This window comes from Homo sapiens, chromosome 8 (genome assembly GCF_000001405.40).
Source record: "Homo sapiens chromosome 8, GRCh38.p14 Primary Assembly".
NCBI classification, from domain to species: domain Eukaryota; kingdom Metazoa; phylum Chordata; class Mammalia; order Primates; family Hominidae; genus Homo; species Homo sapiens.
In genome coordinates, this window is record NC_000008.11 from 85,733,638 (window position 1) to 85,760,445 (window position 26,808).

Below are 26,808 nucleotides of genomic sequence, written 5' to 3' on the forward strand. Positions count from 1 at the left end.
CCTGAAGAAATAAGTCCTTCCACTTTGACCCCATGGAGGATTGCCTGTGAGGAACTTAAACGAGTCTACCAGTGTCTAGACACGGGGGCAGGTCTGTCCGGCACAGCAGCTCCCTCAAGGAGGAGAAGAGTGAGGAGAAAGGAAACTCAAGTCTCACCATTCTGTCCTGGGAGAGAAGAGGAGGATCTCATCTCTCATCTGTCCAAACAAGGCAAGGAGACTTTCTCTCATCTTTCCAAGCAAGGCAAGGAGACTTTTTATCATTAGGAAACAAAAAGAATTTAGAAGGAATGAAAGCAGCCCGTAAGGTGAATTCCTAAGGACTGCCCATTGAAACTGACAAAATTGCCCTTGTTTGATGAGAGGAATGAGCAGAGCATTGATGTGGTGAACAAGGATCTAGTGAGACTTTCCCAGCATGTTTCTACCAAAGCTTTATCTAAGCTTCTCAGAACACTCTCCTAATAAGCAGATGTTTGGCCTTTCAGAAAGTCAACAAGCAAAATGCCTTGAGTGTCCCAAAACACTGATGCCATGATGTGGGCTCCTGACTGGCCTCCTTTTCCTTTGACTGGACCACTGCCACCTCTTGGTAGCCATCGCTTTCATGATGCTTTGCCTTGGCGATCATATTGGTGAAGCCATGTTCCAACTGCCGCTTACAATTTGTCAGAGGGATGCGTCAGGATCGTGATCCCTCCTGTTTAAAATTTCCACTGATAGCTCTCGTCGTAACTGCAGCTGATCTGGGCACAGTGGTTTTCACAGCCACTGCAGGATTCATCTTCCACATCTTCTCACCTCTTCTTGAAACAAGCTATACATTCGTAAAGAGTTCATTTCTTTGGGGTAGTGTCCTTACAAGCTTTTCTTAAAACGTCAATGATTTCTTCAATCTTCCACCCAAGCTTCACCATAAATTTGATGTTTCCTCTTGCTGCAATTTTCGTGGAATTCATGTTGCTCTGACGGGAGTCCTTTTCAGTGGATGTCTCATCCTTCTTAGTGCCTCAAACTAGATCTAGTTCAGAAAGGTTATCAGAAGTTAGGACAAGTTTATTTTAGTGCAAACCAGTGGAAATCCATGCATAGTTTCTTCACCATGTGCATTTTCTATGAACCTTTGGAAGACCACCTGTGTTGAACATTGCCCAAGTCCTGGGAGAGAAGTGGGTGCGGTCCGCTTCCTGTCCTCAATTTGCCCGCAGCGGCGGAGTGCACAGAGCAGGGAAAGGCAGCCCCAGAGGGATCCCGCCCTCCAGCATGCAGCAGACTGCTGGCCCAGTCCTGGCTCCAAGGGGTGCTGTGTGGGCCCAAGCAAGTTGACCAACCTCCCTGAACCTTAATTTAATCCTAGGTAGCCCAATTCCAGTAGCCATTATAGGACTGCCCTGCAGGGACAGTTACTTAACTCAGGAAAAGCAACCTAGCTCCAAGTTTAGCAACCGGGAGTTCCAGTTGATTCCATTAGCGCACCCCCCGAGGCATTCCCAAGCTGGAGTCTGGTGGAAGATGAGGCTCAGTGTGATTGGACTGAAGCACCAACCTATCAAGGAGAAGTCCCACCCAGTCTGCCCTGTGCCTATATAAAGGCGACAAGTGGCGGCCGCAGCACTCATTGAAGCCGCCAGTTGGGAGAGGAGCAGAGCCAGGCCGGTGCTCCCGAAGGCAGCAAGATGTTGCGAGCCACAGCTCCCTGCTGGTTCCCCCCTGGATACCCAGAAGCTAAGAAGGTGGCCGAGGAGGCGGCCCTGGAGGCAAGCCGCCATTTGGGAGGGGAGCAGAGCCAGGCCGGTGCTCCCGAAGGCAGCAAGATGTTGCGAGCCACAGCTCCCTGCTGGTTCCGCCCTGGATACCCAGAAGCTAAGAAGGTGGCCAAGGAGGCGGCCCCGGAGGCAAGCCGCCATTTGGGAGCGGAGCAGAGCCCGGCCGGTGCTCCCGAAGGCAGCAAGATGTTGCGAGCCACAGCTCCCTGCTGGTTCCCACCTGGATACCCAGAAGCTAAGAAGGTGGCCGAGGAGGCGGCCCTCGAGGCTCCAGAATTCCCACTGCCCTCTCATCAGCCTGCCCAGAGCTTCGGGCTCTGGGTGCCCCAGATGCACAAGCAGGCCTCAGCATTTGTGGACATCCAGGCGGAGCCCCAGAACAGGGGTCCGGCGGTGCCCCCAGCGTGGCCCAAGATGGTGACGGAGTCGTGCTACTTCCCTGCGCAGAGGGGATCGGCCTGCCGCTTGCCAGCCGCCCCAAGGCTGACAGAGAGGCCCTCGGGAGTCCGCATCTCAGCCCCCAGGAAGAGGAAGACGATCGCCCACTCTTCCAGCCCTTGCTTGGTCACAGGTTACACAGATGCCAAGAGAACCCGGGTGGCCAGCAGCAGCCAACGCTCCCGTGGCTCCAAGGTCGGCAGACAGCCAGGGAAGACGCGCAACAGGTCAGGGATGGCATGCAAGACCACCGCCACCACCAGCTCTAAGCGAATCGTCCGTCGTGCATCCTTACCGAGTTTGAGTTTGAAGAAACCCATTATCCTCCGAAGCTCTGGGTGCCAAGTCCCCACCGTCCTCCGCCGAGGCTATCTCCAGCTGTTCACCGAAGAGTGTCTCAAGTTCTGCGCCTCCAAGCAGGAGGCCGAGGAGAAGGCGCTGAACGAGGAGAAGGTGGCCTACGACTGCAGCCCCAACAAGAACAGGTACCTGAACGTGGTCCTGAACACCCTCAAGAGACTGAAGGGCCTGACCCCCAGCTCCATGCCCGGCCTCAGCAGGGCCGCCCTGTACAGCCGCCTCCAGGAGTTCCTGCTCACCCAGGACCAGCTCAAGGAGAACGGCTACCCCTTCCCGCACCCCGAGCGGCCCGGAGGCGCCGTCCTCTTCACTGGCCAGGGGAAGGGGCCCGGCGACTCCTCCTGCAGGGTCTGCTGCCGTTGTGGCACCGAGTACCTGGTGTCCTCCTCGGGCCGCTGTGTACGCGACCAGTTGTGTTATTATCACTGGGGGCGGGTCCGCTCGAGCCAGGTGGCTGGAGGCCGGGTTAGCCAGTACACCTGCTGTGCAGCTGCTCCTGGCTCTGTGGGCTGCCAGGTGGCAAAGCAGCACGTGCGGGACGGCCGCAAGGAGAGCCTCGATGGCTTCGTGGAGACCTTCAAGAAAGAGTTGTCCAGAGACGCTTATCCAGGAATCTACGCCTTGGACTGTGAGATGTGCTACACCACGCATGGCCTAGAGCTGACCCGCGTCACCGTGGTGGACGCCGACATGCGAGTGGTGTACGACACCTTCGTCAAGCCCGACAACGAGATCGTGGACTACAACACCAGGTTTTCCGGAGTCACCGAGGCCGACGTCGCCAAGACGAGCATCACGTTGCCCCAAGTCCAAGCCATCCTGCTGAGCTTTTTCAGCGCCCAAACCATCCTCATCGGGCACAGCCTGGAGAGCGACCTGCTGGCCCTGAAGCTCATCCACAGCACCGTGGTGGACACGGCCGTGCTCTTCCCGCACTACCTGGGTTTCCCCTACAAGCGCTCCCTCAGGAATCTCGCGGCCGACTACCTGGCACAGATCATCCAGGACAGCCAGGACGGCCACAACTCCAGCGAGGACGCAAACGCCTGCCTGCAGCTGGTGATGTGGAAGGTCCGACAGCGCGCCCAGATCCAGCCACGCCACCGGTCCGCCTCTCCCGCCGCCCTGGCCTGTCCTTAGCCCCAGGCCTCTTCCAAAACCGCCATCAGTCCCGAGAGCTCACCCTGCCCACCTCGCCGCAAAGCGAAAGAAACTGGAGCAGCCGGCGGCAGGAGAGGGCAAAAAGCCAAGAGTAACCCCAACCCCCCACTCCCGGTCCCCCGGAATCCCTGCCGCGGCCCCTCGGGCCTGTCCACATCCCTCTGCCCCTCCCAGACCTCTGTCCTTCCACCAATCGCCTCCCGCAGCCCCGAGCCGCCACTCCCAGTCCCCCGAGTCCCTGCCGCGCGCCCTCGCGCCTGTCCACATCCCTCTGCCCATCCGAGACCTCTGTCCTTACACCACTAGCCACCCCACGTGGGACTTCCATGGCTTCTGAGTACAAGGCCAGCCCCCCGGCCCACCAGCTTTCGGAATGCCTGCTTACCTCTTTTTCTGTAGAGGCACCACAGGGAGGTGGGTGAAGCACTTCGGCTCTGGAGTTACAGATCTGGGTTCAAGGCCAAATTCCACCACTTACTAGGTTTGTAATATTGGACAGATAACGTCTTTGCGCTTCTACCTTTTGGTCTTTAAAGTGTGATCAAAAGAGACTTAGACTCCCACATAGTAATAATAATAATAATGGCAAACTTAACACCCCACTGTCAACATTAGACACACCAACGAGACAGAAAGTTAAAAAAGGATATCCGGGAATTGAGCTCAGCTCTGCACCAAGCGGACCTAGGAGACATCTACAGAACGCTCCACCCCAAATCAACAGAATATACATTCTTCTCAGCACCACATCACACTTATTTCCACATTGACCACATAGTTGGAAGTAAAGCACTCCTCAGTAAAAGTAAAATAACAGAAATTATTACAAACGGTCTCTCAGACCACATTGCAATCACACTAGACCTCAGGATTGAGAAACTCACTCAAAACCGCACAACTGCATGGAAACCGGACAAGCTGTTCCTGAATGAGTACTGGGTACATAACGAAATGAAGGCAGAAATAAAGATATTCTCTGAAAGCAATGAGAACAAAGACACAACATACCAGAATCTCTGGGACACATTTAAAGCAGTGTGTAGAGGGAAATTTATAGCACTAAATGCCCACAAGGGAAAGGAGGAAAGATCAAAAATGCATACCCTAACATCACCATTAAAAGGATGAGAGAAGCAAGAGCAAACACATTCAAAAGCTAGCAGAAGGCAAGAAATAACTAAGATCCGAGCAGAATTGAAGGAGATAGAGACCCAAAAAACCCTTCAAAAAATCAATGAATCCAGGAGCGGGTTTTTTGAAACCATCAACAAAATTGATAGACCACTAGCAAGACTATTAAAGAATGAAAGGAAGAAGAATCAAGCAGATGCAATAAAAAATGATAAAGGGGATATCACCACTGATCCCACAGAAGTACAAACTACCATGAGAGAATACTGTCAACACCTCTAGGCAAACAAACTCGGAAATCTAGAAGAAATGAATAAATTCCTGGACACATGCAACCTCCCCAGAGTAAACCAGGAAGAAGTTGAATGCCTGAATAGACCAATAACAGGCTCTGAAATTGAGGCAATAATTAATAGCCTATCAAGCAATAAAACTCCAGGACCAGACGGATTCACAGCCGAATTCTACCAGAAGTACAAGGAGGAGCTGGTACCATTCCTTCGGAAACTATTCCAATCAACAGAAAAAGAGGGAATCCTCCCTATCTCATTTTATGAGGCCAGCATCATCCTGATCCCAAAGGCTGAGAGAGACACAACCAACAAAGAGAATTTTCGGCCCATATCCCTGAGGAACACCGATGGAAAAATCCTCCATAAAATGCTGGCAAACCGAATCCAGCAGCACATCAAAGAGCTTATCCATTATGATCAAGTGGGCTTCATCCCTGACATGCAAGGCTGGTCCAACATATGCAAATCAATAAACATAATCCAGCATATAATCGGAACCAAAGACAGAAACCGCGTGATTATCTCAACAGATGCAGAAAAGGCCTTTGACAAAATTCAACAGCCTTTCATGCCAAAAACTCTCAATAAATTAGGTACTGATGGGACATACCTCAAAATAATAAGGGCTATTTAGGGCAAACCCACAGCCAATATCATACTGAATGGGCAAAAAGTGGAAGCATTCCCTTTGCAAACTGCCACAAGACAGGGGTGCCCTCTCTCACCACTCCTATTCAACATAGTGTTGGAACTTCTGGCCAGGGCAATCAGGCAGGAGAAAGAAATAAAGAGTAATCAATTAGGAAAAGAGGAAGTCAAATTGTCCCTGTTTGTAGATGACACGATTGAATATTTAGAAAAACCCATCGTCTCAGCCCAAAATCTCCTTAAGCTGATAAGCAACTTCAGCAAAGTCTCAGGATACAAAATCGATGTGCAAAAATCACAAGCATTCTTATACACCAATAACAGGCAAACAGAGAGCCAAATCATGACTGAGCTCCCATTCACAATTGCTTCAAAGAGAATAAAATACTGAGGAATCCAACTAACAAGGGATGCGATGTGCGAAGGACCTCTTCAAGGAGAACTACAAACCACTGCTCCACGAAATAAAAGAGGACACAAACCAATGGAAGAATATTCCATGCTCACGGTTAGGAAGAATCAGTATCGTGAAAATGGCCATACTGCCCAAGGTATATTATAGATCCAATGCCATCCCCATCAAGCTACCAAGGACTTTCTTCACAGAATTGGAAAAAACTACTTGAAAGTTTACATGGAACCACAAAAGGGCCCCCACTGCCAAGATAATCCTAAGCCAAAAGAACAAAGGTGGAGGCATCAAGCTACCCGACTTCAAACTACACTACAAGCCTACAGTAACCAAACAGCATGCTGTTGGTTGCCTTTTTGGTTACTGTAGACCAATGGAACAGAATAGAGCCCTCAGAAATAATACGACACATCTACAACCGTCGGATCTTTGACAAACCTGACAAAAACAAGAAATGGGGAAAGGATTCCCTATTTAATAAATGGTGCTGGGAAAACTGGCTAGCCATATGTCCAAAGGTGAAATTGGATCCCTTCCTTACACCTTATGCAAAAGTTTATTCAAGACGGATGAAAGACTTAAATGTTACATCTTAAGCCATACAAACCCTAGGAGAAAACCTAGGCAATACCATTCAGGACATAGGTATGAGCAAGGACCTCATGTCTAAAACGCCAAAAGCAAAGGCAACAAAAGCCAATATTGACAAACGGCATCTAATTACACTAAAGAGTTTCTGCACAGCTAAAGAAACTCCCATCAGAGTGAACAGGCATGCTACAGAAAGGGAGAAAATTTTTGCAATCTACTCATCTGACAAAGGGCTAATATCCAGAATCTACTAAGAACTCAAACAGAGTTACAAGAAAAACCAAACAACCCCATCAACAAGTGCGGGAAGGATATGAAGAGACACTTCTAAAAAGAAGACATTTATGCAGCCAACAGACACATGAAAAAATGCCCATCAACACTGATCATCAGAGAAATGCAAATCAAATCCGCAAAGAGATATCGTCTCACACCAGTTAGAATAGCGATCAATAAAAAAGTCAGGAAACAACAGGTGCTGGAGAGGTAGTGGAGAAATAGGAACACTTTTACACTGCTGGTGGGACTGTAAACCAGTTCAGCGGTTGTGGAAGATAGTGTGGCGAATCCTCAAGGATCTAGAATTAGAAATACCATTTGACCCAGCCGTCCCATTACTGGGTATACACCCATACGACTATAAATCATGCTGCTAAAAGGACACACGCAGACGCATGTTTATTGCGGCACCGTTCACAGTAGCAAAGACTTGGAACCAGCCCAGATGTCCATCAATGATAGACTGGATTAAGGAAACGTGGCACAAATACACCGTGGAATACTATGCAGCCATAAAAAAGCATGTGTTCATGCCCTTCGGAGGGACACGGATGAAGCTGGAAACCATCATTCTTAGCAAACTATCGCAAGGACAAAAAAACCAAACACCGCGTGATCCCACTCATAGGTGGGAATTGAACTAGGAGAACACTTGGACGCAGAAAGGGGAACATCACACACCGGGGCCTGTCATGGGCGGGGGGAGGGGGAGGGATAACATTAAGAGATATACCTAATGTAAATGACTAGTGAATGGGTGCAGCACACCAACATGGCACGTGCTTACATACGTAATAAACCTGCACGTTGTGCACATGTACCCTAGTAATTAAAGTATAATTTAAAAAAAAATGGAAAACGAAAGTGTGATCCTAATGTCATGGTGCGGACTGAATGAAGCAGCACATGGCAAGCCTTAAAACGATCGCACATAGTAGGTGTTCAATTAATGTTAACTATATTTCTTTTGTATAATAGTTTATAAAGGGAATTCATGAACACTATGTGATTAATCCTTGGAACAACCCAACAGGTAGGTAAATAAAGCCTAATTTTATACCTAAAGAAACCATGCGGCTTAACTTGCCCAAAATAATAATGATTGTAATGAGCACTGGCTGTTGGTTTCTTATGTACTTGGTACTTTGCACGTATTAACCCAGTCAGTCCTCCTAACAGTTGTGAGAGAGATAGCATTCTTATCCCCATTTTACAGATGAGGAACCTGAAGCCCAGGTGATAAGTAGGTTATCCAAGTTATCATAGCTAGAAGTCGGGTGCAGGCAGTCTGGCTCCAGAGCCCCTGCTCTGTCCGCTGACCTAGCTGACTTCCCAAGAGTCAAAGTGGATTCTTCCCCAAGACCAACCAATTACAATGACTGAATCAGTCAGTCAACTTCGAACTGGGCTCCAAGAGAGAACGAACCATCATGCCTCTCTAAATCCTCATTTCTAGTTTGAATCTTCAAGGAGAGATAGACACTAAGTAGCTAGTTTTGCTGGAATGGCTGATTTTATCAATGTTTTCGGTGTGTGAGTGTGTGTGTGTGTATATGTATAGAACTAAATTAAACTGATAATTTGAATGCTTACACTTCCATTAGTTCAATTTGTGTATGTGAGCCCTCACACACATACATACACACACACAAACTGTTCCAGAACAGTGACTTAGTGAAAAACTGGATTTGCCCTAAATAGCCCTTATTATTTTGAGGTATGTCCCATCAGTACCTAATTTATTGAGAGTTTTTGGCATGAAAGGCTGTTGAATTTTGTCAAAGGCCTTTTCTGCATCTGTTGAGATAATCACGCGGTTTCTGTCTTTGGTTCCGATTATATGCTGGATTATGTTTATTGATTTGCATATGTTGGACCAGCCTTGCATGTCAGGGATGAAGCCCACTTGATCATAATGGATAAGCTCTTTGATGTGCTGCTGGATTCGGTTTGCCAGCATTTTATGGAGGATTTTTCCATCGGTGTTCCTCAGGGATATGGGCCGAAAATTCTCTTTGTTGGTTGTGTCTCTCTCAGCCTTTGGGATCAGGATGATGCTGGCCTCATAAAATGAGATAGGGAGGATTCCCTCTTTTTCTGTTGATTGGAATAGTTTCCGAAGGAATGGTACCAGCTCCTCCTTGTACTTCTGGTAGAATTCGGCTGTGAATCCGTCTGGTCCTGGAGTTTTATTGCTTGATAGGCTATTAATTATTGCCTCAATTTCAGAGCCTGTTATTGGTCTATTCAGGCATTCAACTTCTTCCTGGTTTACTCTGGGGAGGTTGCATGTGTCCAGGAATTTATTCATTTCTTCTAGATTTTCGAGTTTGTTTGCCTAGAGGTGTTGACAGTATTCTCTCATGGTAGTTTGTACTTCTGTGGGATCAGTGGTGATATCCCCTTTATCATTTTTTATTGCATCTGCTTGATTCTTCTTCCTTTCATTCTTTAATAGTCTTGCTAGTGGTCTATCAATTTTGTTGATGGTTTCAAAAAACCCGCTCCTGGATTCATTGATTTTTTGAAGGGTTTTTTGGGTCTCTATCTCCTTCAGTTCTGCTCGGATCTTAGTTATTTCTTGCCTTCTGCTAGCTTTTGAATGTGTTTGCTCTTGCTTCTCTCATCCTTTTAATGGTGATGTTAGGGTATGCATTTTTGATCTTTCCTCCTTTCCCTTGTGGGCATTTAGTGCTATAAATTTCCCTCTACACACTGCTTTAAATGTGTCCCAGAGATTCTGGTATGTTGTGTCTTTGTTCTCATTGCTTTCAGAGAATATCTCTATTTCTGCCTTCATTTCGTTATGTACCCAGTACTCATTCAGGAACAGCTTGTCCGGTTTCCATGCAGTTGTGCGGTTTTGAGTGAGTTTCTCAATCCTGAGGTCTAGTGTGATTGCAATGTGGTCTGAGAGACCGTTTGTAATAATTTCTGTTATTTTACTTTTACTGAGGAGTGCTTTACTTCCAACTATGTGGTCAATGTGGAAATAAGTGTGATGTGGTGCTGAGAAGAATGTATATTCTGTTGATTTGGGGTGGAGCGTTCTGTAGATGTCTCCTAGGTCCGCTTGGTGCAGAGCTGAGCTCAATTCCCGGATATCCTTTTTTAACTTTCTGTCTCGTTGGTGTGTCTAATGTTGACAGTGGGGTGTTAAGTTTGCCATTATTATTATTATTACTATGTGGGAGTCTAAGTCTCTTTTGATCACACTTTAAAGACCAAAAGGTAGAAGCGCAAAGACGTTATCTGTCCAATATTACAAACCTAGTAAGTGGTGGAATTTGGCCTTGAACCCAGATCTGTAACTCCAGAGCCGAAGTGCTTCACCCACCTCCCTGTGGTGCCTCTACAGAAAAAGAGGTAAGCAGGCATTCCGAAAGCTGGTGGGCCGGGGGGCTGGCCTTGTACTCAGAAGCCATGGAAGTCCCACGTGGGGTGGCTAGTGGTGTAAGGACAGAGGTCTCGGATGGGCAGAGGGATGTGGACAGGCGCGAGGGCGCGCGGCAGGGACTCGGGGGACTGGGAGTGGCGGCTCGGGGCTGCGGGAGGCGATTGGTGGAAGGACAGAGGTCTGGGAGGGGCAGAGGGATGTGGACAGGCCCGAGGGGCCGCGGCAGGGATTCCGGGGGACCGGGAGTGGGGGGTTGGGGTTACTCTTGGCTTTTTGCCCTCTCCTGCCGCCGGCTGCTCCAGTTTCTTTCGCTTTGCGGCGAGGTGGGCAGGGTGAGCTCTCGGGACTGATGGCGGTTTTGGAAGAGGCCTGGGGCTAAGGACAGGCCAGGGCGGCGGGAGAGGCGGACCGGTGGCGTGGCTGGATCTGGGCGCGCTGTCGGACCTTCCACATCACCAGCTGCAGGCAGGCGTTTGCGTCCTCGCTGGAGTTGTGGCCGTCCTGGCTGTCCTGGATGATCTGTGCCAGGTAGTCGGCCGCGAGATTCCTGAGGGAGCGCTTGTAGGGGAAACCCAGGTAGTGCGGGAAGAGCACGGCCGTGTCCACCACGGTGCTGTGGATGAGCTTCAGGGCCAGCAGGTCGCTCTCCAGGCTGTGCCCGATGAGGATGGTTTGGGCGCTGAAAAAGCTCAGCAGGATGGCTTGGACTTGGGGCAACGTGATGCTCGTCTTGGCGACGTCGGCCTCGGTGACTCCGGAAAACCTGGTGTTGTAGTCCACGATCTCGTTGTCGGGCTTGACGAAGGTGTCGTACACCACTCGCATGTCGGCGTCCACCACGGTGACGCGGGTCAGCTCTAGGCCATGCGTGGTGTAGCACATCTCACAGTCCAAGGCGTAGATTCCTGGATAAGCGTCTCTGGACAACTCTTTCTTGAAGGTCTCCACGAAGCCATCGAGGCTCTCCTTGCGGCCGTCCCGCACGTGCTGCTTTGCCACCTGGCAGCCCACAGAGCCAGGAGCAGCTGCACAGCAGGTGTACTGGCTAACCCGGCCTCCAGCCACCTGGCTCGAGCGGACCCGCCCCCAGTGATAATAACACAACTGGTCGCGTACACAGCGGCCCGAGGAGGACACCAGGTACTCGGTGCCACAACGGCAGCAGACCCTGCAGGAGGAGTCGCCGGGCCCCTTCCCCTGGCCAGTGAAGAGGACGGCGCCTCCGGGCCGCTCGGGGTGCGGGAAGGGGTAGCCGTTCTCCTTGAGCTGGTCCTGGGTGAGCAGGAACTCCTGGAGGCGGCTGTACAGGGCGGCCCTGCTGAGGCCGGGCATGGAGCTGGGGGTCAGGCCCTTCAGTCTCTTGAGGGTGTTCAGGACCACGTTCAGGTACCTGTTCTTGTTGGGGCTGCAGTCGTAGGCCACCTTCTCCTCGTTCAGCGCCTTCTCCTCGGCCTCCTGCTTGGAGGCGCAGAACTTGAGACACTCTTCGGTGAACAGCTGGAGATAGCCTCGGCGGAGGACGGTGGGGACTTGGCACCCAGAGCTTCGGAGGATAATGGGTTTCTTCAAACTCAAACTCGGTAAGGATGCACGACGGACGATTCGCTTAGAGCTGGTGGTGGCGGTGGTCTTGCATGCCATCCCTGACCTGTTGCGCGTCTTCCCTGGCTGTCTGCCGACCTTGGAGCCACGGGAGCGTTGGCTGCTGCTGGCCACCCGGGTTCTCTTGGCATCTGTGTAACCTGTGACCAAGCAAGGGCTGGAAGAGTGGGCGATCGTCTTCCTCTTCCTGGGGGCTGAGATGCGGACTCCCGAGGGCCTCTCTGTCAGCCTTGGGGCGGCTGGCAAGCGGCAGGCCGATCCCCTCTGCGCAGGGAAGTAGCACGACTCCGTCACCATCTTGGGCCACGCTGGGGGCACCGCCGGACCCCTGTTCTGGGGCTCCGCCTGGATGTCCACAAATGCTGAGGCCTGCTTGTGCATCTGGGGCACCCAGAGCCCGAAGCTCTGGGCAGGCTGATGAGAGGGCAGTGGGAATTCTGGAGCCTCGAGGGCCGCCTCCTCGGCCACCTTCTTAGCTTCTGGGTATCCAGGTGGGAACCAGCAGGGAGCTGTGGCTCGCAACATCTTGCTGCCTTCGGGAGCACCGGCCGGGCTCTGCTCCGCTCCCAAATGGCGGCTTGCCTCCGGGGCCGCCTCCTTGGCCACCTTCTTAGCTTCTGGGTATCCAGGGCGGAACCAGCAGGGAGCTGTGGCTCGCAACATCTTGCTGCCTTCGGGAGCACCGGCCTGGCTCTGCTCCCCTCCCAAATGGCGGCTTGCCTCCAGGGCCGCCTCCTCGGCCACCTTCTTAGCTTCTGGGTATCCAGGGGGGAACCAGCAGGGAGCTGTGGCTCGCAACATCTTGCTGCCTTCGGGAGCACCGGCCTGGCTCTGCTCCTCTCCCAACTGGCGGCTTCAATGAGTGCTGCGGCCGCCACTTGTCGCCTTTATATAGGCACAGGGCAGACTGGGTGGGACTTCTCCTTGATAGGTTGGTGCTTCAGTCCAATCACACTGAGCCTCATCTTCCACCAGACTCCAGCTTGGGAATGCCTCAGGGGGTGCGCTAATGGAATCAACTGGAACTCCCGGTTGCTAAACTTGGAGCTAGGTTGCTTTTCCTGAGTTAAGTAACTGTCCCTGCAGGGCAGTCCTATAATGGCTACTGGAATTGGGCTACCTAGGATTAAATTAAGGTTCAGGGAGGTTGGTCAACTTGCTTGGGCCCACACAGCACTCCTTGGAGCCAGGACTGGGCCAGCAGTCTGCTGCATGCTGGAGGGCGGGATCCCTCTGGGGCTGCCTTTCCCTGCTCTGTGCACTCCGCCGCTGCGGGCAAATTGAGGACAGGAAGCGGACCGCACCCACTTCTCTCCCAGGACTTGGGCAATGTTCAACACAGGTGGTCTTCCAAAGGTTCATAGAAAATGCACATGGTGAAGAAACTATGCATGGATTTCCACTGGTTTGCACTAAAATAAACTTGTCCTAACTTCTGATAACCTTTCTGAACTAGATCTAGTTTGAGGCACTAAGAAGGATGAGACATCCACTGAAAAGGACTCCCATCAGAGCAACATGAATTCCACGAAAATTGCAGCAAGAGGAAACATCAAATTTATGGTGAAGCTTGGGTGGAAGATTGAAGAAATCATTGACGTTTTAAGAAAAGCTTGTAAGGACACTACCCCAAAGAAATGAACTCTTTACGAATGTATAGCTTGTTTCAAGAAGAGGTGAGAAGATGTGGAAGATGAATCCTGCAGTGGCTGTGAAAACCACTGTGCCCAGATCAGCTGCAGTTACGACGAGAGCTATCAGTGGAAATTTTAAACAGGAGGGATCACGATCCTGACGCATCCCTCTGACAAATTGTAAGCGGCAGTTGGAACATGGCTTCACCAATATGATCGCCAAGGCAAAGCATCATGAAAGCGATGGCTACCAAGAGGTGGCAGTGGTCCAGTCAAAGGAAAAGGAGGCCAGTCAGGAGCCCACATCATGGCATCAGTGTTTTGGGACACTCAAGGCATTTTGCTTGTTGACTTTCTGAAAGGCCAAACATCTGCTTATTAGGAGAGTGTTCTGAGAAGCTTAGATAAAGCTTTGGTAGAAACATGCTGGGAAAGTCTCACTAGATCCTTGTTCACCACATCAATGCTCTGCTCATTCCTCTCATCAAACAAGGGCAATTTTGTCAGTTTCAATGGGCAGTCCTTAGGAATTCACCTTACGGGCTGCTTTCATTCCTTCTAAATTCTTTTTGTTTCCTAATGATAAAAAGTCTCCTTGCCTTGCTTGGAAAGATGAGAGAAAGTCTCCTTGCCTTGTTTGGACAGATGAGAGATGAGATCCTCCTCTTCTCTCCCAGGACAGAATGGTGAGACTTGAGTTTCCTTTCTCCTCACTCTTCTCCTCCTTGAGGGAGCTGCTGTGCCGGACAGACCTGCCCCCGTGTCTAGACACTGGTAGACTCGTTTAAGTTCCTCACAGGCAATCCTCCATGGGGTCAAAGTGGAAGGACTTATTTCTTCAGGGCTCAGTAGTCCACATCCTGGCGCGCACCTTCACCAGCCCAGGGCGGGGTAGAGGAGGGTGAAAGGGCGTGGCTCAGAGCCCGCTTCTTCCGCTCGGGCGTATCCTGGGAGGAACCCTTGTCCGGTGAGCATGTCTTCGTCTCTACCAAATTCCCTAGTGGGACATTTCTGGCAGCCCTACTTGTTCAGCAGCTTACGGGGGTCAGGTGGACCTCTGCTAGTCACCAGCCTGAAGCCCTTTCTCCATTTCAGCTATTTTGGCAGTTGCCTAGGTGACTTTTGAACCTCATTATCCAGAACAGCAAACGGACGAGGGGTGAGAAGAGTGGCCGTCTGGGTTTGCAGCATAGTGCTGCCTTCTAGGAGTTGTGCAGTCTTCGATTGTGTGAAACTTCACCTGGCTGATTTGTGGCAATGCCTCCACAAATTCGCTAAATTCAGTAGCTTTTGCCTTCCAAGATTCATTTACACAATGTTGAATGCTTTAAATGAATGAGCATGAAGAGTGCTGGGCTGGAAAGTGATGAGATGGGTGGTAGGGACTCCTCGGAGTAGAGGAGTAGAGTTTTACTATTATGACTAGGAGGCAAATAAAAAGAAGCTGAACGTGATCCATAATAAAAGAAGCACACACTCACAGAGCTCCATACCAACTACATTAAAATGGAAATCATGATATTTGGAAATACAACTTAATTGGAAATCATTAAGTAATCTCATCAACCTTTTTACAGTGGGTGGCAGGGCTATGGAGGGAAAACAGCAATGGTTCTGGCACCTACTTAACTTGATTCCATTAAATTCACCCAACAGGCCTCCAGAGAACATATTACTGCTTTGATATTACAAAGGGAAAAACAGCTATGGCGTCTCTGAAAAGCACAACGTGCTAGGACTGGAAATGACTTTAAAAACCACACATAAATTTCTGAGAGATTTTTGCCGTAAAGGTACCATCCACCTTACTGTAAACCACATCCTAAAATTGTCTGCAGTGCAAATGGATTATGTGCATCCAACAGGAAACAGCATAGGTTGAGAAGCTGTTACTTAATAGCTTCATTGTCACCACGAGTGTAAAGTGTGGGGTCTCATCACTTTTGCACCCACGTTTTGCCTGTTGGTTTCTCCACACTGTCAGGAGCATTTGACCAACTCACTGTGGCTCAGGATCCCTTACGCAGCCTGTTGGGGAAACCAGTGGGTATTGAAGACCTGCCTCTGGTGTGCCAGGAGGTTGTGCCTGCCGGCCACTCTGACTTGTGATCTTCCGCCTCAGTGTATGGCTTCCTACACCTGGGTAATTAACATTGCCAGCATGATAAGGAGGTCCTTTCATCACTATTGCCACTAGTCCTTCCGACTCCTGTGCCCTGTTTCTCCTTTATTGGAACCCAAGAACGAGTAAACATAGCATTTTCAAACATCCCGCCCCCTTCCCTGGTAACACCAATATTCCACCATCCTAATTCCCTCACAAGCATTCAGTCTCTCCACCCTGAGGTGGTGAAATCCCTGCAGGCATTTATAAGTATACCTGGACAGAAGAAATACAAGATACCGTTCTATTAACTCAATATAGTGTTGCTAAGTTCGTACTTGTGCTTGGTTTATTTTATTTTATAAATACGTATCACTCGCATGGTTCCAAATGCGGTAGGCACAGAGAGTATATATGATGGAATTACATCCTCCTTCCCTGCACTCACCAACCGAGATCATCCCGCTACGGGCACTCAAAGGTTTCATTGTCTGAAATATCAGCCTAAACGTAGTTTATGTTTAGGAAGCAACAACCGTAAATAGTCCCACATCCAAACGGAGTGGATTTAGGTTTCACTTTTTCAAGGAAAAACCATCAAAGAATTTTTCCACATACTTATAAACCATCCCACGTATAGAATCCATTTTTACTGACACAAATTTAGTACCAATAAACGACTCTTCTTCTCAATTTGTTTTATTTAACAATAAGTCTTGAACGTCATTCCCAGTTAACATTTTGAAGAGTTTCCTATCTTTCGTTCTGTTTTAGCTGCAAAGTATTCTTCCGTAAGGATGAACGTACTATAATTTATTAGCCAGCCACTTAGTGATGTACAATTAAGCAGTTTTAAATCTTTGACTCTTGAAAATATTGTTTCTCACACATAAATATTTCTATAAAATAAATTAGTTGAATTAGAATTGTTGGAGTTCAAGACCAGCCTGGCCAACATGGTGAAACCCCATCTCTACTAGAAACACAAAATTAGCCGGACATGCCGGTACATGCCTCTAATCTCAGGTGAGGCAGGAGAATCACTTCAACCTGCAGTGGCTGTGAAAACCACTGTGCCCAGATCAGCTGCAGTTACGACGAGAGCTATCAGTGGAAATTTTAAACAGGAGGGATCACGATCCTGACGCATCCCTCTGACAAATTGTAAGCGGAAGTTGGAACATGGCTTCACCAATATGATCGCCAAGGCAAAGCATCATGAAAGCGATGGCTACCAAGAGGTGGCAGTGGTCCAGTCAAAGGAAAAGGAGGCCAGTCAGGAGCCCACATCATGGCATCAGTGTTTTGGGACACTCAAGGCATTTTGCTTGTTGACTTTCTGAAAGGCCAAACATCTGCTTATTAGGAGAGTGTTCTGAGAAGCTTAGATAAAGCTTTGGTAGAAACATGCTGGGAAAGTCTCACTAGATCCTTGTTCACCACATCAATGCTCTGCTCATTCCTCTCATCAAACAAGGGCAATTTTGTCAGTTTCAATGGGCAGTCCTTAGGAATTCACCTTACGGGCTGCTTTCATTCCTTCTAAATTCTTTTTGTTTCCTAATGATAAAAAGTCTCCTTGCCTTGCTTGGAAAGATGAGAGAAAGTCTCCTTGCCTTGTTTGGACAGATGAGAGATGAGATCCTCCTCTTCTCTCCCAGGACAGAATGGTGAGACTTGAGTTTCCTTTCTCCTCACTCTTCTCCTCCTTGAGGGAGCTGCTGTGCCGGACAGACCTGCCCCCGTGTCTAGACACTGGTAGACTCGTTTAAGTTCCTCACAGGCAATCCTCCATGGGGTCAAAGTGGAAGGACTTATTTCTTCAGGGCTCAGTAGTCCACATCCTGGCGCGCACCTTCACCAGCCCAGGGCGGGGTAGAGGAGGGTGAAAGGGCGTGGCTCAGAGCCCGCTTCTTCCGCTCGGGCGTATCCTGGGAGGAACCCTTGTCCGGTGAGCATGTCTTCGTCTCTACCAAATTCCCTAGTGGGACATTTCTGGCAGCCCTACTTGTTCAGCAGCTTACGGGGGTCAGGTGGACCTCTGCTAGTCACCAGCCTGAAGCCCTTTCTCCATTTCAGCTATTTTGGCAGTTGCCTAGGTGACTTTTGAACCTCATTATCCAGAACAGCAAACGGACGAGGGGTGAGAAGAGTGGCCGTCTGGGTTTGCAGCATAGTGCTGCCTTCTAGGAGTTGTGCAGTCTTCGATTGTGTGAAACTTCACCTGGCTGATTTGTGGCAATGCCTCCACAAATTCGCTAAATTCAGTAGCTTTTGCCTTCCAAGATTCATTTACACAATGTTGAATGCTTTAAATGAATGAGCATGAAGAGTGCTGGGCTGGAAAGTGATGAGATGGGTGGTAGGGACTCCTCGGAGTAGAGGAGTAGAGTTTTACTATTATGACTAGGAGGCAAATAAAAAGAAGCTGAACGTGATCCATAATAAAAGAAGCACACACTCACAGAGCTCCATACCAACTACATTAAAATGGAAATCATGATATTTGGAAATACAACTTAATTGGAAATCATTAAGTAATCTCATCAACCTTTTTACAGTGGGTGGCAGGGCTATGGAGGGAAAACAGCAATGGTTCTGGCACCTACTTAACTTGATTCCATTAAATTCACCCAACAGGCCTCCAGAGAACATATTACTGCTTTGATATTACAAAGGGAAAAACAGCTATGGCGTCTCTGAAAAGCACAACGTGCTAGGACTGGAATGACTTTAAAACCACACATAAATTTCTGAGAGATTTTTGCCGTAAGGTACCATCCACCTTACTGTAAACCACATCCTAAAATTGTCTGCAGTGCAAATGGATTATGTGCATCCAACAGGAAACAGCATAGGTTGAGAAGCTGTTACTTAATAGCTTCATTGTCACCACGAGTGTAAAGTGTGGGGTCTCATCACTTTTGCACCCACGTTTTGCCTGTTGGTTTCTCCACACTGTCAGGAGCATTTGACCAACTCACTGTGGCTCAGGATCCCTTACGCAGCCTGTTGGGGAAACCAGTGGGTATTGAAGACCTGCCTCTGGTGTGCCAGGAGGTTGTGCCTGCCGGCCACTCTGACTTGTGATCTTCCGCCTCAGTGTATGGCTTCCTACACCTGGGTAATTAACATTGCCAGCATGATAAGGAGGTCCTTTCATCACTATTGCCACTAGTCCTTCCGACTCCTGTGCCCTGTTTCTCCTTTATTGGAACCCAAGAACGAGTAAACATAGCATTTTCAAACATCCCGCCCCCTTCCCTGGTAACACCAATATTCCACCATCCTAATTCCCTCACAAGCATTCAGTCTCTCCACCCTGAGGTGGTGAAATCCCTGCAGGCATTTATAAGTATACCTGGACAGAAGAAATACAAGATACCGTTCTATTAACTCAATATAGTGTTGCTAAGTTCGTACTTGTGCTTGGTTTATTTTATTTTATAAATACGTATCACTCGCATGGTTCCAAATGCGGTAGGCACAGAGAGTATATATGATGGAATTACATCCTCCTTCCCTGCACTCACCAACCGAGATCATCCCGCTACGGGCACTCAAAGGTTTCATTGTCTGAAATATCAGCCTAAACGTAGTTTATGTTTAGGAAGCAACAACCGTAAATAGTCCCACATCCAAACGGAGTGGATTTAGGTTTCACTTTTTCAAGGAAAAACCATCAAAGAATTTTTCCACATACTTATAAACCATCCCACGTATAGAATCCATTTTTACTGACACAAATTTAGTACCAATAAACGACTCTTCTTCTCAATTTGTTTTATTTAACAATAAGTCTTGAACGTCATTCCCAGTTAACATTTTGAAGAGTTTCCTATCTTTCGTTCTGTTTTAGCTGCAAAGTATTCTTCCGTAAGGATGAACGTACTATAATTTATTAGCCAGCCACTTAGTGATGTACAATTAAGCAGTTTTAAATCTTTGACTCTTGAAAATATTGTTTCTCACACATAAATATTTCTATAAAATAAATTAGTTGAATTAGAATTGTTGGAGTTCAAGACCAGCCTGGCCAACATGGTGAAACCCCATCTCTACTAGAAACACAAAATTAGCCGGACATGCCGGTACATGCCTCTAATCTCAGGTGAGGCAGGAGAATCACTTCAACCTGCAGTGGCTGTGAAAACCACTGTGCCCAGATCAGCTGCAGTTACGACGAGAGCTATCAGTGGAAATTTTAAACAGGAGGGATCACGATCCTGACGCATCCCTCTGACAAATTGTAAGCGGAAGTTGGAACATGGCTTCACCAATATGATCGCCAAGGCAAAGCATCATGAAAGCGATGGCTACCAAGAGGTGGCAGTGGTCCAGTCAAAGGAAAAGGAGGCCAGTCAGGAGCCCACATCATGGCATCAGTGTTTTGGGACACTCAAGGCATTTTGCTTGTTGACTTTCTGAAAGGCCAAACATCTGCTTATTAGGAGAGTGTTCTGAGAAGCTTAGATAAAGCTTTGGTAGAAACATGCTGGGAAAGTCTCACTAGATCCTTGTTCACCACATCAATGCTCTGCTCATTCCTCTCATCAAACAAGGGCAATTTTGTCAGTTTCAATGGGCAGTCCTTAGGAATTCACCTTACGGGCTGCTTTCATTCCTTCTAAATTCTTTTTGTTTCCTAATGATAAAAAGTCTCCTTGCCTTGCTTGGAAAGATGAGAGAAAGTCTCCTTGCCTTGTTTGGACAGATGAGAGATGAGATCCTCCTCTTCTCTCCCAGGACAGAATGGTGAGACTTGAGTTTCCTTTCTCCTCACTCTTCTCCTCCTTGAGGGAGCTGCTGTGCCGGACAGACCTGCCCCCGTGTCTAGACACTGGTAGACTCGTTTAAGTTCCTCACAGGCAATCCTCCATGGGGTCAAAGTGGAAGGACTTATTTCTTCAGGGCTCAGTAGTCCACATCCTGGCGCGCACCTTCACCAGCCCAGGGCGGGGTAGAGGAGGGTGAAAGGGCGTGGCTCAGAGCCCGCTTCTTCCGCTCGGGCGTATCCTGGGAGGAACCCTTGTCCGGTGAGCATGTCTTCGTCTCTACCAAATTCCCTAGTGGGACATTTCTGGCAGCCCTACTTGTTCAGCAGCTTACGGGGGTCAGGTGGACCTCTGCTAGTCACCAGCCTGAAGCCCTTTCTCCATTTCAGCTATTTTGGCAGTTGCCTAGGTGACTTTTGAACCTCATTATCCAGAACAGCAAACGGACGAGGGGTGAGAAGAGTGGCCGTCTGGGTTTGCAGCATAGTGCTGCCTTCTAGGAGTTGTGCAGTCTTCGATTGTGTGAAACTTCACCTGGCTGATTTGTGGCAATGCCTCCACAAATTCGCTAAATTCAGTAGCTTTTGCCTTCCAAGATTCATTTACACAATGTTGAATGCTTTAAATGAATGAGCATGAAGAGTGCTGGGCTGGAAAGTGATGAGATGGGTGGTAGGGACTCCTCGGAGTAGAGGAGTAGAGTTTTACTATTATGACTAGGAGGCAAATAAAAAGAAGCTGAACGTGATCCATAATAAAAGAAGCACACACTCACAGAGCTCCATACCAACTACATTAAAATGGAAATCATGATATTTGGAAATACAACTTAATTGGAAATCATTAAGTAATCTCATCAACCTTTTTACAGTGGGTGGCAGGGCTATGGAGGGAAAACAGCAATGGTTCTGGCACCTACTTAACTTGATTCCATTAAATTCACCCAACAGGCCTCCAGAGAACATATTACTGCTTTGATATTACAAAGGGAAAAACAGCTATGGCGTCTCTGAAAAGCACAACGTGCTAGGACTGGAATGACTTTAAAACCACACATAAATTTCTGAGAGATTTTTGCCATAAGGTACCATCCACCTTACTGTAAACCACATCCTAAAATTGTCTGCAGTGCAAATGGATTATGTGCATCCAACAGGAAACAGCATAGGTTGAGAAGCTGTTACTTAATAGCTTCATTGTCACCACGAGTGTAAAGTGCGGGGTCTCCTCACTTTTGCACCCACGTTTTGCCTGTTGGTTTCTCCACACTGTCAGGAGCATTTGACCAACTCACTGTGGCTCAGGGTCCCTTACGCAGCCTGTTGGGGAAACCAGTGGGTATTGAAGACCTGCCTCTGGTGTGCCAGGAGGTTGTGCCTGCCGGCCACTCTGACTTGCGATCTTCCGCCTCAGTGTATGGCTTCCTACACCTGGGTAATTAACATTGCCAGCATGATAAGGAGGTCCTTTCATCACTATTGCCACTAGTCCTTCCGACTCCTGTGCCCTGTTTCTCCTTTATTGGAACCCAAGAACGAGTAAACATAGCATTTTCAAACATCCCGCCCCCTTCCCTGGTAACACCAATATTCCACCATCCTAATTCCCTCACAAGCATTCAGTCTCTCCACCCTGAGGTGGTGAAATCCCTGCAGGCATTTATAAGTATACCTGGACAGAAGAAATACAAGATACCGTTCTATTAACTCAATATAGTGTTGCTAAGTTCGTACTTTTGCTTGGTTTATGTTATTTTATAAATAGGTATCACTCGCATGGTTCCAAATGCGGTAGGCACAGAGAGTATATATGATGGAATTACATCCTCCTTCCCTGCACTCAGCAACCGAGATCTTCCCGCTACAGGCACTCAAAGGTTTCATTGTCTGAAATATCAGCCTAAACGTAGTTTATGTTTAGGAAGCAACAACCGTAAATGGGCCCACATCCAAACGGAGTGGATTTAGGTTTCACTTTTTCAAGGAAAAACCATCAAAGAATTTTTCCACATACTTATAAACCATCCCACGTATAGAATCCATTTTTACTGACACAAATTTAGTACCAATAAACGACTCTTCTTCTCAATTTGTTTTATTTAACAATAAGTCTTGAACGTCATTCCCAGTTAACATTTTGAAGAGTTTCCTCTCTTTCGTTCTGTTTTAGCTGCAAAGTATTCTTCCGTAAGGATGAACGTACTATAATTTATTAGCCAGCCACTTAGTGATGTACAATTAAGCAGTTTTAAATCTTTGACTCTTGAAAATATTGTTTCTCACACATAAATATTTCTATAAAATAAATTAGTTGAATTAGAATTGTTGGAGTTCAAGACCAGCCTGGCCAACATGGTGAAACCCCATCTCTACTAGAAACACAAAATTAGCCGGACATGCCGGTACATGCCTCTAATCTCAGGTGAGGCAGGAGAATCACTTCAACCTGGGAGGCAGAGGTTGTAGTGACTCGAAATCACGCCACTGCACTCCAGCCTGGGCGACGCGAGCGAAACTCTGTCTCAAAAAACCAAAAAAAATTAAACATAAAAAGAAAAGCGGTACATATACCCAATAGAACACAATTCAGCCTTAAAAAAGAAAGAAATCATCTCATTGGCAACACGAATGAGCCTAGAGGATGGTACACTGAGTGAAAGAAAGCAAAGGCCAGGCACGGTGGCTCATGCCTGTAATCCCAGTACTTTGGGAGGCCAAGGCAGGTGGAAGCGTTGAGCCCAGGAGTTGGAGATGAACCTGGGCAACATGGTGAAACCCCATCTCTAAAAGAAACACAAAAATTAGCCAAGTGTGGCGTTGGACGCCTGTAGTCCTAGCTATTCAGGAGGCTGAAGCGGGAGGAACTCTCGACCCCGGGAGGTGGAGGCCGTGGTGGGTGAGTGAGCCGTGTTTGTGTCACTGTACTCCAGCCTGGGTGACAGACTGAGACCCTGTCTCAAAAAATAAATAATTACATAATAAAGATTTAAAAAGCAAGCACAAAAAGACAAATACTGCATGATCTCACTTATATGTGCAATCTCAAACAATGCAACTCATAGCTGCAGAGAGCAGAACGGTGGTTACCCGAGGCAGGGGTCAGGGAGGGACTGGAGAGATGATAGTCTCATGATACAAAATTTCAGAGAGGAATGGTTCTAGAGATCTATTGAACAGCCTGGCATCTACAGTGTATAAGTATGTATTGTATACTTGAAAATTGCTATAAGAGTAGATTTTAGACATGTCCTCATCACATTAAAATCAGTATGTGAGGAAACGAGTGTGTTAATTAGCTTGATTTTGTCATTCCACAATGTATACACGTATGAAACATCATGTTGTATGCCATAAATATATATAATTTTTATTTGTCAAGTTAAAATTAAAATTCATATAAATTATAAAAGTAAAATGAAATAACATACACTACAAAAGACGTTTATTTATTAAATCCCCACAGAAGGGGTCTAAGTGATAAAGGAAAATAAAATTCCGGGAACGGTAAAATCAATCAGAAATGCCCTACTTCAGTGCTTTCCGAAATTTGTCTGACAGAGTGGAAATCCAGTTTTTCACTAAGTCACTGTTCTGGAACAGTTTGTGTGTGTGTATGTATGTGTGTGAGGGCTCACATACACAAATTGAACTAATGGAAGTGTAAGCATTCAAATTATCAGTTTAATTTAGTTCTATACATATACACACACACACACTCACACACCGAAAACATTGATAAAATCAGCCATTCCAGCAAAACTAGCTACTTAGTGTCTATCTCTCCTTGAAGATTCAAACTAGAAATGAGGATTTAGAGAGGCATGATGGTTCGTTCTCTCTTGGAGCCCAGTTCGAAGTTGACTGACTGATTCAGTCATTGTAATTGGTTGGTCTTGGGGAAGAATCCACTTTGACTCTTGGGAAGTCAGCTAGGTCAGCGGACAGAGCAGGGGCTCTGGAGCCAGACTGCCTGCACCCGACTTCTAGCTATGATACCTTGGATAAACTACTTATCACCTGGGCTTCAGGTTCCTCATCTGTAAAATGGGGATAAGAATGCTATCTCTCTCACAACTATTAGGAGGACTGACTGGGTTAATACGTGCAAAGTACCAAGTACATAAGAAACCAACAGCCAGTGCTCATTACAATCATTATTATTTTGGGCAAGTTAAGCTGCATGGTTTCTTTAGGTATAAAATTAGGCTTTATTTACCTACCTGTTGGGTTGTTCCAAGGATTAATCACATAGTGTTCATGAATTCCCTTTATAAACTATTATAGAAAAGAAATATAGTTAACATTAATTGAACACCTACTATGTGCGATCGTTTTAAGGCTTGCCATGTGCTGCTTCATTCAGTCCGCACCATGACATTAGGATCACACTTTCGTTTTCCATTTTTTTTAAAATTATACTTTAATTACTAGGGTACATGTGCACAACGTGCAGGTTTATTACGTATGTAAGCACGTGCCATGTTGGTGTGCTGCACCCATTCACTAGTCATTTACATTAGGTATATCTCTTAATGTTATCCCTCCCCCTCCCCCCGCCCATGACAGGCCCCGGTGTGTGATGTTCCCCTTTCTGCGTCCAAGTGTTCTCCTAGTTCAATTCCCACCTATGAGTGGGATCACGCGGTGTTTGGTTTTTTTGTCCTTGCGATAGTTTGCTAAGAATGATGGTTTCCAGCTTCATCCGTGTCCCTCCGAAGGGCATGAACACATGCTTTTTTATGGCTGCATAGTATTCCACGGTGTATTTGTGCCACGTTTCCTTAATCCAGTCTATCATTGATGGACATCTGGGCTGGTTCCAAGTCTTTGCTACTGTGAACGGTGCCGCAATAAACATACGTCTGCGTGTGTCCTTTTAGCAGCATGATTTATAGTCCTATGGGTGTATACCCAGTAATGGGACGGCTGGGTCAAATGGTATTTCTAATTCTAGATCCTTGAGGATTCGCCACACTATCTTCCACAACCGCTGAACTGGTTTACAGTCCCACCAGCAGTTTAAAAGTGTCCCTATTTCTCCACTACCTCTCCAGCACCTGTTGTTTCCTGACTTTTTTATTGATCGCTATTCTAACTGGTGTGAGACGATATCTCTTTGCGGATTTGATTTGCATTTCTCTGATGACCAGTGTTGATGAGCATTTTTTCATGTGTCTGTTGGCTGCATAAATGTCTTCTTTTTAGAAGTGTCTCTTCATATCCTTCCTGCACTTGTTGATGGGGTTGTTTGGTTTTTCTTGTAACTCTGTTTGAGTTCTTAGTAGATTCTGGATATTAGCCCTTTGTCAGATGAGTAGATTGCAAAAATTTTCTCCCTTTCTGTAGCATGCCTGTTCACTCTGATGGGAGTTTCTTTAGCTGTGCAGAAACTCTTTAGTGTAATTAGATGCCGTTTGTCAATATTGGCTTTTGTTGCCTTTGCTTTTGGCGTTTTAGACATGAGGTCCTTGCCCATGCCTATGTCCTGAATGGTATTGCCTAGGTTTTCTCCTAGGGTTTGTATGGCTTAAGATGTAACATTTAAGTCTTTCATCCGTCTTGAATAAACTTTTGTATAAGGTGTAAGGAAGGGATCCAATTTCACCTTCGGACATATGGCTAGCCAGTTTTCCCAGCACCATTTATTAAATAGGGAATCCTTTCCCCATTTCTTGTTTTTGTCAGGTTTGTCAAAGATCCGATGGTTGTAGATGTGTCGTATTATTTCTGAGGGCTCTATTCTGTTCCATTGGTCTACAGTAACCAAAAAGGCAGCCAACAGCATGCTGTTTGGTTACTGTAGGCTTGTAGTGTAGTTTGAAGTCGGGTAGCTTGATGCCTCCAACTTTGTTCTTTTGGCTTAGGATTATCTTGGCAGTGGGGGCCCTTTTGTGGTTCCATGTAAACTTTCAAGTAGTTTTTTCCAATTCTGTGAAGAAAGTCCTTGGTAGCTTGATGGGGATGGCATTGGATCTATAATATACCTTGGGCAGTATGGCCATTTTCACGATACTGATTCTTCCTAACCGTGAGCATGGAATATTCTTCCATTGGTTTGTGTCCTCTTTTATTTCGTGGAGCAGTGGTTTGTAGTTCTCCTTGAAGAGGTCCTTCGCACATCGCATCCCTTGTTAGTTGGATTCCTCAGTATTTTATTCTCTTTGAAGCAATTGTGAATGGGAGCTCAGTCATGATTTGGCTCTCTGTTTGCCTGTTAT

At 47.3% G+C, this 26,808-nt stretch overlaps 2 protein-coding genes and 2 pseudogenes across 2 annotated transcripts, besides 2 other annotated features; 2 read left to right on the plus strand and 2 right to left on the minus strand.

Annotated features, from left to right (window-relative positions):
* REXO1L11P (REXO1 like 11, pseudogene) lies at window positions 1,677–1,871 on the plus strand (annotated as a pseudogene).
* Window positions 1,677–3,760, plus strand: LOC101929601 (putative exonuclease GOR). The gene has a single exon (XM_005251121.2). It carries the CDS (start codon window positions 1,677–1,679, stop codon window positions 3,702–3,704), a length of 2,028 nt encoding a protein of 675 aa, XP_005251178.1. The 3' UTR covers window positions 3,705–3,760.
* Window positions 3,761–10,851: 7,091 nt separating this feature from the next.
* On the minus strand, window positions 10,852–12,879 carry LOC101929627 (putative exonuclease GOR). The gene has a single exon (XM_005251122.3). It carries the CDS (start codon window positions 12,877–12,879, stop codon window positions 10,852–10,854), a length of 2,028 nt encoding a protein of 675 aa, XP_005251179.1.
* Window positions 12,685–12,879, minus strand: REXO1L10P (REXO1 like 10, pseudogene; annotated as a pseudogene).
* Window positions 21,786–22,287: an enhancer, noted in NCBI's record as "OCT4 hESC enhancer chr8:86767652-86768153 (GRCh37/hg19 assembly coordinates)". NCBI's record gives its function as "activates a minimal SCP1, AML or CMV promoter by ChIP-STARR-seq in naive H9 embryonic stem cells {active_cell/tissue: H9 hESC(naive)}" and the evidence as "EXISTENCE:reporter gene assay evidence [ECO:0000049][PMID:30033119]".
* Window positions 25,106–25,607: an enhancer, noted in NCBI's record as "OCT4 hESC enhancer chr8:86770972-86771473 (GRCh37/hg19 assembly coordinates)". NCBI's record gives its function as "activates a minimal SCP1, AML or CMV promoter by ChIP-STARR-seq in primed H9 embryonic stem cells {active_cell/tissue: H9 hESC(primed)}" and the evidence as "EXISTENCE:reporter gene assay evidence [ECO:0000049][PMID:30033119]".

Bases quoted from the DNA above. Each gene is read 5' to 3' on its own strand.
- LOC101929601 (XM_005251121.2), top strand. From the start codon at position 1,677: ATGTTGCGAGCCACAGCTCCCTGCTGGTTCCCCCCTGGATACCCAGAA.
- LOC101929627 (XM_005251122.3), bottom strand. From the start codon at position 12,879: ATGTTGCGAGCCACAGCTCCCTGCTGGTTCCCCCCTGGATACCCAGAA.